The sequence below is a fragment of the Homo sapiens genome, chromosome 15 (assembly GCF_000001405.40).
Source record: "Homo sapiens chromosome 15, GRCh38.p14 Primary Assembly".
Classification (NCBI taxonomy): domain Eukaryota; kingdom Metazoa; phylum Chordata; class Mammalia; order Primates; family Hominidae; genus Homo; species Homo sapiens.
In genome coordinates, this window is record NC_000015.10 from 34257418 (window position 1) to 34270721 (window position 13304).

The 13304-nt window shown below is 40.1% G+C and overlaps 1 protein-coding gene across 11 annotated transcripts in view, besides 1 other annotated feature; it reads right to left on the bottom strand.

The window, feature by feature from the left end:
* Positions 1-13304, bottom strand: part of SLC12A6 (solute carrier family 12 member 6) — a 108274-nt gene that overhangs the window by 27634 nt on the left and 67336 nt on the right. For 9 of the 11 annotated variants that reach the window (XR_931960.4, NM_001042495.2, NM_001042494.2 and 6 more), the window contains 3 exons: positions 3509-3603; positions 1396-1527; positions 225-371 (listed from right to left, as the gene is read on the bottom strand). Coding sequence is in view for 10 of the 11 variants with exons in the window: in NM_001042495.2 (NP_001035960.1) it covers positions 225-371; positions 1396-1527; positions 3509-3603 (374 nt within the window). In the remaining variant the exon portion in view is untranslated. The remainder of the gene's footprint in view (positions 1-224; positions 372-1395; positions 1528-3508; positions 3604-13304) is intronic. The other 2 variants (XM_006720793.5, XM_047433396.1) reach the window with 1 other exon arrangement.
* Positions 97-297: a silencer, noted in NCBI's record as "peak2292 fragment used in MPRA reporter construct". NCBI's record gives its function as "represses an SCP1 promoter by STARR-seq MPRAs in K562 erythroleukemia cells {active_cell/tissue: K562}" and the evidence as "EXISTENCE:reporter gene assay evidence [ECO:0000049][PMID:32103011]".

Genomic DNA, 13304 nt, shown 5'->3' on the forward strand with positions numbered 1-13304 from the left:
TGCTTTGTAATTTCTAGTACATCATATAATAGATAGCAAGCAGTGACTAACAGGCACTGAATAACTGAAAATCCTTTAGATTTTAATATCAGAATAATTTCTTCTGTTGAGATCATGAGTCCTTCCCTAAGTATTCTTTGTTTTATTCCCAAAGAGGTCATGTGCATCTGCTCTTGAGAACTTGCAACGTTCAGGTGATCTCTAGGAGCCAGTGCAGTACTTACACAGCAGCAGCAGATAAGGACAATTGCAAAAGCCTGAAGAACTCCAGCTGTGCCCACCACCCATGTAAGGCGTAAAAAAAGGATCACTCCAAAAATATTTTGTAGACATGGGAGGTAGACACCCATGAAGGTACCCATTTGGGGGGTCTAGAAAGAAAGACATTGATAAAAAATCACACAGTTATCCTAAAGAGAGGTTTTTATTCTTTTATGTAATAACTTGCTCCCTAACTACCATATTAACCTCCAAGCAGAAATCATAAGTTTAATCAATACCTTCAAAAGGGCACATATAAAATCTCCATCTTTCAAGTGTTTATCACCATACTTTTATTATTCCTAAAGCTATATATTTTAACTTTACAAAGGTTCCTGCATGTGTTTATTATACATAGGCATTTGGCCACAAATAAACTTTTATGTGCACCCACAACAATTTAAAATTTTGTTTTTCAAAGCTGTTGGCTTTTTTCATTTAAAAACAATAAGGACTTGATGGAATTTCTTCAGAATTTGGCATAAATTCTTCACAGTAGTTAGTAAATAAATTAGATGGCAAAATGAAGATCTGAGGGCCGTTTTATCCCTTTTTGAAAGGGCTGAACAACCAGAATGGTAAACTGAATGTCTTATATTTTCATTTTGAGACAAACTGATGTTTGGTGTTTAAAAAACCCAACAACTTCACAACAGACAGATGGCATCAGCAGATGGGTATGGACACTCTTCTCTTGAAAAGCTATTCCCTCTCCCTGAATGCTCTTTTCCCACATAGCTCACTCCCTCCCATCAGCTAGATCTCTCCTCAAATATCACCTTGTCAGAAAGGCTTTCCCTGTCCAACCTATGTAAGTAGCAACGCCCTCCACTCTGGATCCCTTGCCAATTTCAGTCTCTCTACTCTGCTTAATTTTTTGCTCGGGAATTTATCAACACTTAATATGTTATATACTTTGGCAGTTAAAACAGCTTAAGGACTGTATCCCCACATCAGAATTTAGACTGCATCATATGTTTTCTTTGTGCTATGACGCTGGTGCCCAGAACAGTTCCAGGCACCTCTCAAGCATTTAATAAATAGCTGCTGAACACAGAATGGTGCCTTAGGTATTTCCTTCTTTCTTATATACAGGGCTCTTTCTATGTATTCCTTGTTATTCTGAGGCCTCACCTTGGTGGGCTTCTTTTTCCCTTCAGTGATGTTTTCTGCCTCTTCATGTTCCTTTGCTCCTTGAGTCAGATTAGTGTAATTGGCCATGCGGTTGAGGAGGGAAGACACCTTCGGTCTGGTGTCCATTTCTTCCTATAAAGCCAGTGACATGGAAGAAATGAGCTACAAAGAACACTGAACATAAGTATCAAAATAATCTTGCTACCAGAAAACTTCAAATTAAATGAAAAAATATTTCACAGGTAGGCCGGGTGCAGTGGCTCACACCTGTAATCCCAGCACTTTGGGAGGCCAAGGTGGCTGGATCACCTGAGGCTGGGAGTTTGAGACCAGCCTGGCCAAGATGGTGAAACCCCGTCTCTACTAAAAATACAAAAATAAGCTGGGTGTGGTGGCACGTGCCTGTAATCCCAGCTACACGGGAGGCTGAGGCGGGAGAATCAGCTTGAACCCAGGAGGCAGAAGTTGCAGTGAGCCGAGATCGCGCCACTGCGCTCCAGCCTGGGCAACAGAGGGAGACTCCATCTCAAAAAAAAAAAAAAAATTGGTACATTGAGTTGGGCATGGTGGCTCACACCTGCTAACCCAATGCTATGGGAGGGCAAGGCAGAAGGATCGCTTGAGCCCAGGCACTCAAGACCAGCCTGGGCAACAGAGTGAGACCCTGTCTCTGCAAAAAATTTAAAAATCAGCCAGGTGTGGTGACACATGCCTGTAGTCCCAGCTACTAGGGAGGCTGAGGTAGGAGGGTCCTTTGAGCCCAGGAGGTCAAGCTGTGATCGTGCCACTGCACTCCAGCCTGGGTGACAGAGCAAGACCCTGTCTCAAAAACAAACTAAAAATGGTACATTGAGAGAAGTGGCACTTGCATCATTGTCAAAGGCCAGAAAAAGGTAGTGCTGAAATAAACCAGGCTCCTTTCAACAACCTGGCCACAGCTTATGGAGCCTGGCCACAGAGTCCATGTTGTCTTATTCAGATAAGATATAGAAGTCCTCTTCATTATGTTAAGTGAAATAAGCCAGGCACAGAAAGATAAATAGCACACGATCTCACTTACATGTGGGATCTAAAAAGTAGAACTCGTAGTAATAGAATGGTGGTTACCAAAAGCTTGGGGTGTATGTAGGGGAAGGGGGAGAGGTTAGTCACAGGATACAAAGTTTCAGTTAGGCAGGAGAAATAAGTTTTTGAGATCTATTGCACAGCATAGCAACTATAGTTAACATATTGTATATTTCAAAATTGCTAAGAAAGTCAAATTCAAATATTTTCACCATGAAAATGATAAGTATACGAGGTGATATATATGCTAATTAGCTTGATTTAATCATTCCACAATGCATACAAATATCAAAATATCACATTGTAATCCATAAATATATACAGTTATTATTTGACAATTAAAAAAAAGGACATGAAGGTCCTGCTAATCTGGAAGCCTGCTTCCTACAGTGATTTTTGGAGACGGAGTCTTGCTCTGTCGCCCAGGCTGGAGTGCAGTGGCACAATCTTGGCTCACTGCAAGCTCTGCCTCCCGGGTGCATGCCATTCTCCTGCCTCAGCCTCCCGAGTAGCTGGGACCACAGGCGCCCGCCACCATGCCCGGCTAATTTTTTGTAGTTTTAGTAGAGACGGGGTTTCACCGTGTCAGCCAGGATGGTCTCGATCTCCTAACCTTGTGATCCACCCGCCTCGGCCTCCCAAAGTGCTGGGATTACAGGCGTGAGCCACCGCGCCCGGCCTTGTTTAGTTAGTTCTAAGGCAAATGATAGTCTTTCCAGACAAAGGGTGGAGAAATACACTGATTTATAGTTAGAAGAAAGATTATTCTAATAAAAACAATTAAATCACAGCTGAATTAGATTGCAAGGTAATCTATATGTCCAAGAAGTCAAACTCCTCTTCCTTACTACATAACAATTTGATTTAATAGTTACTCACTATAATTAGATTACACAGACAAAATTTACTATAATAACAAGTTACAATATTTTCTTTTAACATTAAATTATCCAGCTTGTAAAATTTTTAAACCAAATGGGGTAAAATATGGCTATCATGAGATCTCTGTTCCTAAAGTCTCAGTCCATAGTTTTCTCCAAAATATTACCTCAAAGAGTGCCAAATTTTTATCAAAATATTCATCTCCTTCTTCATAATTGGAATTATTGAGATAAGCATTTCGAGCTTTCTTATGTCCGTCGTCTGGAAAAAAAAAAGTAGACCAAGTTAGTTTCTCACTGGTTTCTGACGAAGAAACATCAGCACCAGATAAGTGCAGGTTGCTTCGGTATTAATATAACCCATTTTCATATTCAAATTTAATCTTAGAACTCAATCAGCACTGCTTGGAGAATATGGAACAAAATAAAACTCTCCAGCAGGAACAAAAAGAAAACTCTGAGAAGTAAACATGGGTCATTCCTTTCCTTAACAATAATCAAGACCCCTAGAGACGCTATTCTTTTGGAATTCCAGCCCATGAAGACTCTTTTTTTTTTGAGATGGAGCTGCTATGCCGCCCAGGCTGGAGTGCAGTGGCGCAATCTCAGCTCACTGCAACCTCCGCCTCCCTGGTTCAAGCGATTCTCCTGTCTCAGCCTTGAAGTAGCTGGGAGTACAGGCACGCACCACCATGCCCAGCTAATTTGTTTGTATTTTTAATAGAGATAGGGGTTCACCACGTTGGCCAGGCTGGTCTCAAACTCCTGGCCTCAAGTTATCCGCCCACCTCAGCCTCCCAAAGTGCTGGGATTACAGGCGTGAGCCACTTGCACCCAGCCGAGACTCTACTCTTAAAGTCACCTAAGTTTAGGAGGAAAAAAAGATATTGAGTATATACTCAGGGTATAATACTGTGTTAGATGTAGTCTCCTTTACACACTATTGCTGCTGATAATGACAGTAAAAGCTCTCTGCCTCCACAGCTGTCTGACCTTTTATAAATTATATGAAGTTTTGATTTGCATTTCTCTGATGATTTCAGTGATGAGCATTTCACACCAGTCAGAATGGCAATTATTAAAAAGTCAAAAATAACAGATGTTGGCAAGGCTGTGGAGAAAAAGAAATGCTTATACACTGCTGGTGGGAATGTAAATTAGTTCAGTCACTGTGGAAAGCAATTTGGAGATTCCTCAGAGAACTTAGAACTACCATTCCACCCGGCAATCCCATTACTGGGTATATACCCAAAGGAAAATAAATCATTCTACCAAAAAGACACATGCACTTGTATGTTCATTACATACAATTGAAACCCAACCTTCAAGCCAAAGACAGTTTAAAGCCTAGCTACAAGTCCTGGATAAATCCATGGACTGAACTGAGAACCTCTCTTCCCGTTTGGCATACTTTCCTCTAATTGATTCTCCACTCTTTACCTATTTTACATATATCTACCCTTCCCTAATTGGTTTTTTACACTGTGTGCCTTTGTTTTAGCCTTTTTTTGCATACTCACAAACCAATGAGCATACACTCCCCTATTCTGAGCCCATAAAGGCCCCAGCCCCAGCCCCAATGAGAGAGACCACCCTCGCATGCCCTCTCCACTGAGAATTGTTTCTCATCATTCAATAAAATTATTCTCCGCCCTCCTCACCCTTTGATATCAGCACAACCTCATTCTTCTTGGATGTGGAACAAGAACTCAGGACCCACCAAACACAGGTACAAAGAAGGCTGTAATACTGTGGCCCTCCACGCTCTGCCAGTGGAGGGCAGCTACCCCACGCGACGGGAAGCAGCAGCGGGCGGGAGCAGGGGCGACAGGACAGACAGAGCTGTTAACATGCCGCCATCCATGGGGCTGCAGATGGTGGGACTAAAAGAGCTATTAGCACACGGTAACACCCCCTCTGAGGTTTCAGGGTTGCGGACACCCGTCTGGGCGCCACCATGTTCCCCTCAGTGTGACATGCCTGGTCCAGCAGCAATCCCTACATACAGCCCGCTTCTGTCTCACTGCTTGGAGCAGCCAGCTGGACACTGCACTCGCTCACTCCCTCACCCCCTCCCACCAGTGCGCAATTGCCACGGCTGCAGGATCTGCATTGGAGCGCAAGCCAGGCATAGCCCAGCAGGATGAATAGACAGGGCATCTCTTCTGGTGAGCTCGGGCCTGAGCAAAGCCTGGGCATGGATGTTGCTGGCTGGAGGTCTCTGGCTGGCAAAGTGGCCAAGAAAAATCCTGTGTCACTATGCTTCCTACTTGGGTGAAAGGATTACCCATACCCCAATCCTCAGCATCATGCAATATACACATGTAACAAACCTGTACATGTACCCTCTAAATCCAAAATAAAAGTTGAAAAAAAATAGGGCAGGCATGGTGGCTCATGCCTGTAATCCTAGAACTTTGGGAGGCCCAGGTGGGAGACTGCTAGAGTCCAGGAGTTCTGGACCAGCCTGGGCAACATTGAGACCCTGCCTCAACAAAAAAAATTAAAAAATTAGCAGGGCATGGTGGTGCATGCTTATAGTTCTAGCTATTCAGGCAGGAGGATTCCTTGAGCCCAGGAGTTCAAGACTGCAAGTAAGCTGTGACTGATCCACTGCACTCCAGCCTGGGCAACAGGGTGAGACCCTGTCTCGGGGCAGGTTTGTGGGGGAGTTGAAAAAAGAAAAAAAATTATGTCATTTAACTATTATTTTTGTACAAACCCTTCCACATTTTTTTTTAATGTTAAAAGAGGCATCTGACAAAAATTCGGTGAAAGAGCTATGAGGAAAAAAAGGAGACCAGGCCCATAAGACAGCAAACTTTATTTGAGCACTTCCTTAACTTTGTTTCATTATTATGCAAAAGTTATATAATTACAGAGTCTGGAAGGAGAGAAGAGAAAAAAAAACATAAATGCTATTAAAAGCCAAGATTTTCAATACTGGGGAAATAAATACCAATATAAAAATTAAAGAATTAAAAACCCTATAAGCTTAAATGTATAAGGATGGGCTTGAGAAACAGTCAATAAACTATCAAAATTACTGGGTCACATCAAAGGGCACAGAGCCAAACTGAAGGGGTTCCCAATGCCCCAAAATGGAATAATACAAACATTAAAAATAAATAATGTGATGGATTGAAATGCAAATTTATGAAATACTCAAAATGATATTCTGAAAAAGTCACCTTTGCGGGGTTAAGGAAACAACACATGACTCTGAAAAATGACATTAATAAATAGAAAAAAAAAAATGGAAAGAAGTAAGCAATCATCTTGCCTTTCTTGTGCCAACTGTATTTCAGGGTAACCAATAATTAAAAGAAAATTTCTTCCTTATAGAAGCATTCCAGCTAATTAATGATAGATGGAATGACAGAAAAAAATCACTAATAAAATAACAGATTTAGGCAACGATAATCAATGGTTGTTAAAACCATTAGGTGAAAGGCTGAGGCAAAACTTTACAATGGATGGATCAGGCTGATCTGGAGCCTGCTTATCAGCTTTAACATCTCTGAAGGTATGACAACACAATCTCCTGTAATACAATGAAAAATACACTGTACAAGCTATGATGTATTCTTTCCAAAAGAATGGAAGTTGAATCTAATCAAGCCTCGAAATCTAACTATCAGTTCAAGGAAAACACAAAGGAGGAATATGTTAAACATTAGAAGGATCTAATCACCAAATTCAGAATGTGAGAAATTTTACAAGATGATCTGACTTCTTCAGCAAATAAATGGCATAAACTTAAAAGGTGAACTTTTATAGATAAAAGAGACTTAAAAGACATATCAACTAATTGCAAATGAACATTGTTAGGATCCTGACTCAACACATCAAAGGTAAAAAGGCATTTTTGAAACAAAAAATAAGAGAAAATATATCACTCTTTTTTTTAAAAAGGGCAAGTAAAATCATATGATGTCTGGAATTTTCTTTAAAACAGTTTAGGGAAAAATTAGGTAGGGTCTTCAAAACAGATTTGTAACATTGATGAAGCTGGGTGATGCATTCATAAAAGTTCATTATGCTATTCTACTTTTCTGTACCTTTGATATTTTCAGTAACAAAAAGTTATAAATAGAAAAATGTAATTCTTTTCCTCTTCTTAATGGCTCCAGAAAATTCTAAAGAGTATAGCTTAGGCTGGGTGCAGTGGCTCATGCCTGTAATCCCAACACTTTAGGAGGCCGAGGCGGGCGAATCACGAGGTCAGGAGATTGAGACCATCCTGGCTAACACGGTGAAACCCTGTCTCTACTAAAAAATACAAAAAATTAGCCGGGCGTGGTGGCAGCCGCCTGTAGTCCCAGCTACTTGGGAGGCTGAGGCAGGAGAATGGCATAAACCCAGGAGGCGGAGCTTGCAGTGAGCCGAGATCGTGCCACTGCACTCCAGCCTGGGCGACAGAGCGAGACTCCGTCTCAAAAAAAAGAGTATAGCTTAAAATTATCACCACTTCTGAGTAATTCATTTATTCAACTAATATTTATTAAATTCCTAGGATGTACTGGATACTGTTCTGGGTCCTAGAGATATAGCAGTGGACATGGCAGTTAAAGACCCTGCCTTTACTGTGCATATACTGAAGTTACAGAAGACAGAAAGTAAGTAAAAACAACAACAGCAATTAAAAAAAAAAAAACAAACAAAAAAGACAAAATAAAAACAAAAAAACCCAAAAAGAATTTCAAGAAGTGGTAAGTTCAAGGAAGAAAATCAAATAGGTACTGGGAGAGACTGTGACTAGGGAGGGGAATGACGACTTCATGTAAGATCATTGGTGTGCTGATAACAGCCTCTAAAGAATTAAAACAAATCCGACTTACAGTACTTGACAATTTCTGTGGTATAAATACTCACACATGGCCATTTTCAAACTACTAATGTGAAGACAATGAACCTGGTTTTGGGAAGAGATTTGCATTAACTGGCTCTTGTGAGCTGGTATAAGCTGGCTGCAGCACACTCCTGGCATAGGATAGTAAGGAAAAGCCTACATTTCAGGCAGAGGGAACACAGCAATTTTAAAAGATCCTAAAGCAGAACCAATTCAAGTGAATTCATAAAGCAGAAAGGACAATATAGCTAAAGGACAGTGAGGAAAGGAGAGCATATTTAGAAAGACAGAAAGGAGCCAGACCACGTAAGTTAGTTAATGGATAGATTTTCCAAAGGAGAGAGTAATGTGAGAGTGTGCTAATAGTTCATTTGGGAAGCAGGGGTAATACAGAAAGCTTTTTTTTTTTTTTTTTTTTTTAAGAAGAGATTATAAAGAAGCAGAAAAAGTGGGACAAATAATTTAGGATGGCACAATGGTCCAAGCATATCAATAAAACCAGTAATGTAAATAGACTAAGACAAAGATTGACAGACTGGATTAAACAATAAAATCTAGACATATACTATTTATAAGAGATATAAGGACATACAAAAGCTGAACATTAAGAAAACATTAAGGAAAGAGATATATCAGGCAAATACTAACCAAAAGAAAGCTGATATAATTTTATTAGTATCAGATAAATTTATGAGAAACATTTTATTAGGTATTAGAAGGTAACCACATAATAACAAAAGGTTTAATCCACCAAGAAGGCATGACAGTTTTGTTTATACCACATAATAACAAAAGGTTTAATCCACCAAGAAGTCATGCCAATTTTATTTATCATTATTATTATTTTTTGAGACAGGGTCTCACTCTTACGCCCAGGCTGGAGTACAGTGGTGCGATCACAGCTCACTGCAGCCTCAGCCTCCTGGGCCCAAGAGATCCTCCCACCTCAGCCTCCCAAGTAGCTAGGACTACAGGCTTATGCCACCATGAAGAGCTAATTTTTGGATTTTTTGTAGAGATGAGGTTTTGCTATGTTGCCTCGTATTCCTAGACTCAAGCCATCAGCCTGCCTCAACCTCCCAAAGTGCTGGGATTACAGGTGTGAGCCACCGGGCCTGGCTGGCACAACAATTTTAGACATACATCTATTGTTTAGTTATTATTATTATTTTGCTCAACAAATTACCTCCAAATTTATTGGCATTTTAAACAACACAGTTTATCATCTATTTGTTTGGGTTGGATTTTTAAAAGTCTGACAATCTGTCTTTTCAACTGCCAAGTTTAGTCCATCAACCTTAGTGATTAATATATTTAGACAGGGTTCTAACATCTTTTTATTTGTTTTTTCTCTATGACTCATTCTCATCCTCTATCTCTCCCACTCTTTGGATTTTCTGGTTTGTTTTTCCTTAATGACATTTTCCCCTCTAGTTTCCATTCTCTATTTCTGTTCTTTCAGCAATTACCCTTGAAATTTTACTATATATCTTAAATTGTTAAATAAGTTTAAACAATTGCTTGACATCCTCCTGAACAACACGAAGACTTTCTAATACTTCAATTCCAATTTTCTCCTCCTGACTTACCTAATATTGGTGTCCAACGTTCCCAGTAGTCTCTTTTTAAAAAAAAAAAAAACTCCATAAATAAGATATTAGAGTTGTTTTATTGAGACAACACTGATTTGAGTCGATGTACAAGTTTACTAGTTCATTTATTCACTACTCTTTCTTACATTTCAGACTACTAGTCTTCTAGGATCATTTTATTCTTTCTTGAGGTATATTCCTTAGAATTCCTTTAGGTTTCTCAAACTCAGCACTATGGAATTTTGGAGCAAATAATTACTGTGAGGGACTGTCCTGTGCACTGTAGAATATTTAAGAGCATCCCTGGCCTCTACTCATTAGATGCCAGTAGCACCTCCAGTAGTGACTGTCAGAGATGTCTCCAGGCTGGGCGCAGCAGCCCTCTCCTGTAATCCCAGCTCTTTGGGAGGCCATGGCAGGAGGACTGCTTGAGGGCAGGAGTTTGAGACTAGCATGAGCAACATTGTGAGACCTTGTCTCTACAAAATTTTTGTGTACACTTATTTGTGTTTTCTGGCTTGTAACTTTGTGTTTTGGTACTGAGAATTCTTCTGTCATTCTGTTGTTCCTTTGATGAACTGTCCTTTCTCTCTGGCTGCTTTCAAGATCTTTTCTTAGATTTTCTGCAGTTTCATTAAGATGTATCTAGGTGTAGTTCTTTTTGTTTACGCTATTTACCTACTACTAAGCTACTGTTTAATTTCTTTTTTATATCTATATATATTTTTTCTTTTCTAGAATTTCCATTTATTTTCCTTCTCTTTAAACAGTCTTTTATTCCTGAGGAGTTTGCTCATCTTCCTAACTGCATCCTCTACTGATTTAAACATTTAATAGAATTTTGTATCCCAGACTCAGGACCATGTCATTTCTCTTGAGGGTTATGGAAGTAAGAGTTCAACATACTACCTCTCTGCTATTCAATAACCTTACAATGATGCTGTTACAAAAATCTGGCATGAGACAATCCTGTCCCATTCTGCTACCTGCTGTCCAAGCCACCTCCTAGCAGCTCTGGCTTGCCTTGTCTTATTATCATCAGACAGTCTGGATCCTGGCTGTTTCTGGCCCACCTTCCATTTGCTTGCTTACTTTTTTTAGAAAGGTAGAAGAATATCCCTGGAGATTTTTGTCTACATTTTATGAGACCAATGATGCCTCCAACCAATAATGTCCTACTCATGGTCTACTTGTGGTAGTGTTGTGCAATGGGAGGCTCCCAAAGAGTTCCTGGTCAATCATGGCTTGTGGACAGTCATGAAAGGTCAAGGCTTTCCAAGGCAAGAAATGAAGCATTCATCAAGTGTGGTTATACCAAAAGGCATGAAATTAGAAGTGATTATATTGAAAGGCAAGGATTAATTTTTGGCTTGAATATCTTGGTGGGAAACCATGCTGCTTTAGAGTTCAGCCTTCAAAAGTTTAGGTCACTGTTGTGACCCCAAGAAATACCAGATGGAATGGAACTTCTAGTTTCTGAGTAGCAAATAATCTTTACTCTGCAGGAACTAAGAACCAAATCCATATTCCAGGGCTCTTTTAGGATTATTCAGAATCCTAAAATGACTCCTTTGAAGGATCCCCACTGAGACTGGCCTCAGTAATGGTTTGCATTACATCACCTGTCAGATTACTATTATGTTTCTTTTTTTCTTTCTTTCTTTTTTTTTTTGAGACGGAGTCTTGCTCTGTTGCCCAGTCTGCAGTGCAGTGGCACAATCTCAGCAGACTGCGACCTCCGCCTCCAGGGTTCAAGCAATTCTCCTACCTCAGCCTCCCGAGTAGCTGGAATTATAGGCGCCTGCCACCATGCCTGGCTAATTTTTTGTATTTTTAGTAGACATGGGGTTTTGCCATGTTGGCCAGGCTGGTCTTGAACTCCTGACCTCAGGTGATCCACCCACCTCAGCCTCCCAAACTGCTGGGATTACAGGTGTGAGCCACTGCGCCCAGACACTATTATGTTTCTTTTTTCTCATTTTACTATCTAAATAATGCTGACATTTTTGGGAAACTTACTGGTGTTTCACTGCATAATTCAAATGAAAACTGATAGGATAATTCTACTAAATATTTCAGATTTCTGTTTTTCATGGCATATTTTTTTTTTGTAAACAGAAAAAAGGTATACCAAAGGTCTTACTCTTTATATAAACACTTTACTGTTGTGATGTTATTACTTCTATAATGTTGCATTTGTCAATTACCACTTATACTATAATTTGGGCCCTAGATAAATCTCAAGTTACTCCTTTAGCTTCCTGATCTTGTCAAATGGCCTTTGCTAGTCTGAGTTAGGCAAGAGAGCAGTAGGTGTACCTAATTTCCCTTGGCACAGGTTTGGGTTTGTACTATGTGACTATGTGAATCTGAAAGGTTATCCCAAATGCTACATGTTTTTGATTTTATACTTTGTTTTGCCATTGATGTGTTAAGGAAACCATGTCATTTGTCCTGGAGAGTTTCTGATGGTCTGGGTTTTGATCATGGCATCCATGTGATGCTGTTTAACATGCTCTTTTTTTTTTTGTAATTCCTATAAATTGGTAGTTGAATCTAAAAGCTTAATCACATTCAGTACTTCTAGGAGGGTAGGGAGGAAAACTACTTCACAGTGGTATTATGAACTGCCAGGAGGTACATGTCATTGTCATCTGGTTGTCTTTCCTTTTGAGATATTAGCAATTGTTGATGAGTAATGCCTAGCTCCATTAATTTATGAGAGGTCACCAAATGGTAATATTCTCATTCTATTATTGTTCCTTCATTTATTAGCTAGAATACCTCTATAAAAAGAGACATTTCCTTTAATCTACTATTTGATTACCAAGTGGTTCAGTTAAAAACAGGACGAATAATTCTTTCCCTTTACTGACCAGTTCTCAGAATAATTGGTTCACTAAATACTCCAATGGTGACCAGTTAGTTGTGGGTTTTGTTTTGTTTTAGAGACAGGGTATCACTCTGTCGCGGAGTACAGTGGCACCATCACAGCTTACTGTAGCCTCCAGAGTAGCTAGGACTACAGGTGTGTGCCACCATGCCAGGCTAATTATTTTTTGCTTTTTTGTAGAGATGGGTTCTTGCAATGTTGCCCAGTCTGATCTTGAACCCCTGGCCTCAAGTAATCCTCCTACCTCCCTCCTCAGCCTCCTAAAGTGCTGGGACTACAGGCGTGTGCCATTGTGCCTGGCTCATTTTTTAAATTATCATTATGAACTCATAAACTTAAATACTGGGTTTTTACTGTATTAGCCCTTCCTCATGCTGCTATGAAGAAATACCCAAGACTGGGTAATTTATAAAGAAAAGAGGTTTGGCTGAGCACAATGGCTCACACCTCTAATCCCAGCACTTTGGGAGGACGAGACAGGCGGATCACTTGAGGCTTGGAGTTTGAGACTAGACTGGACAACATGGTGAAACCCCGTCTCCACTGAAAATACAAAAATTAGCCAGGTGTGATGGTGGGTCCCTGTAATCCCAGCCACTTGGGAGGCTGAGGAAGGAGAATCACTT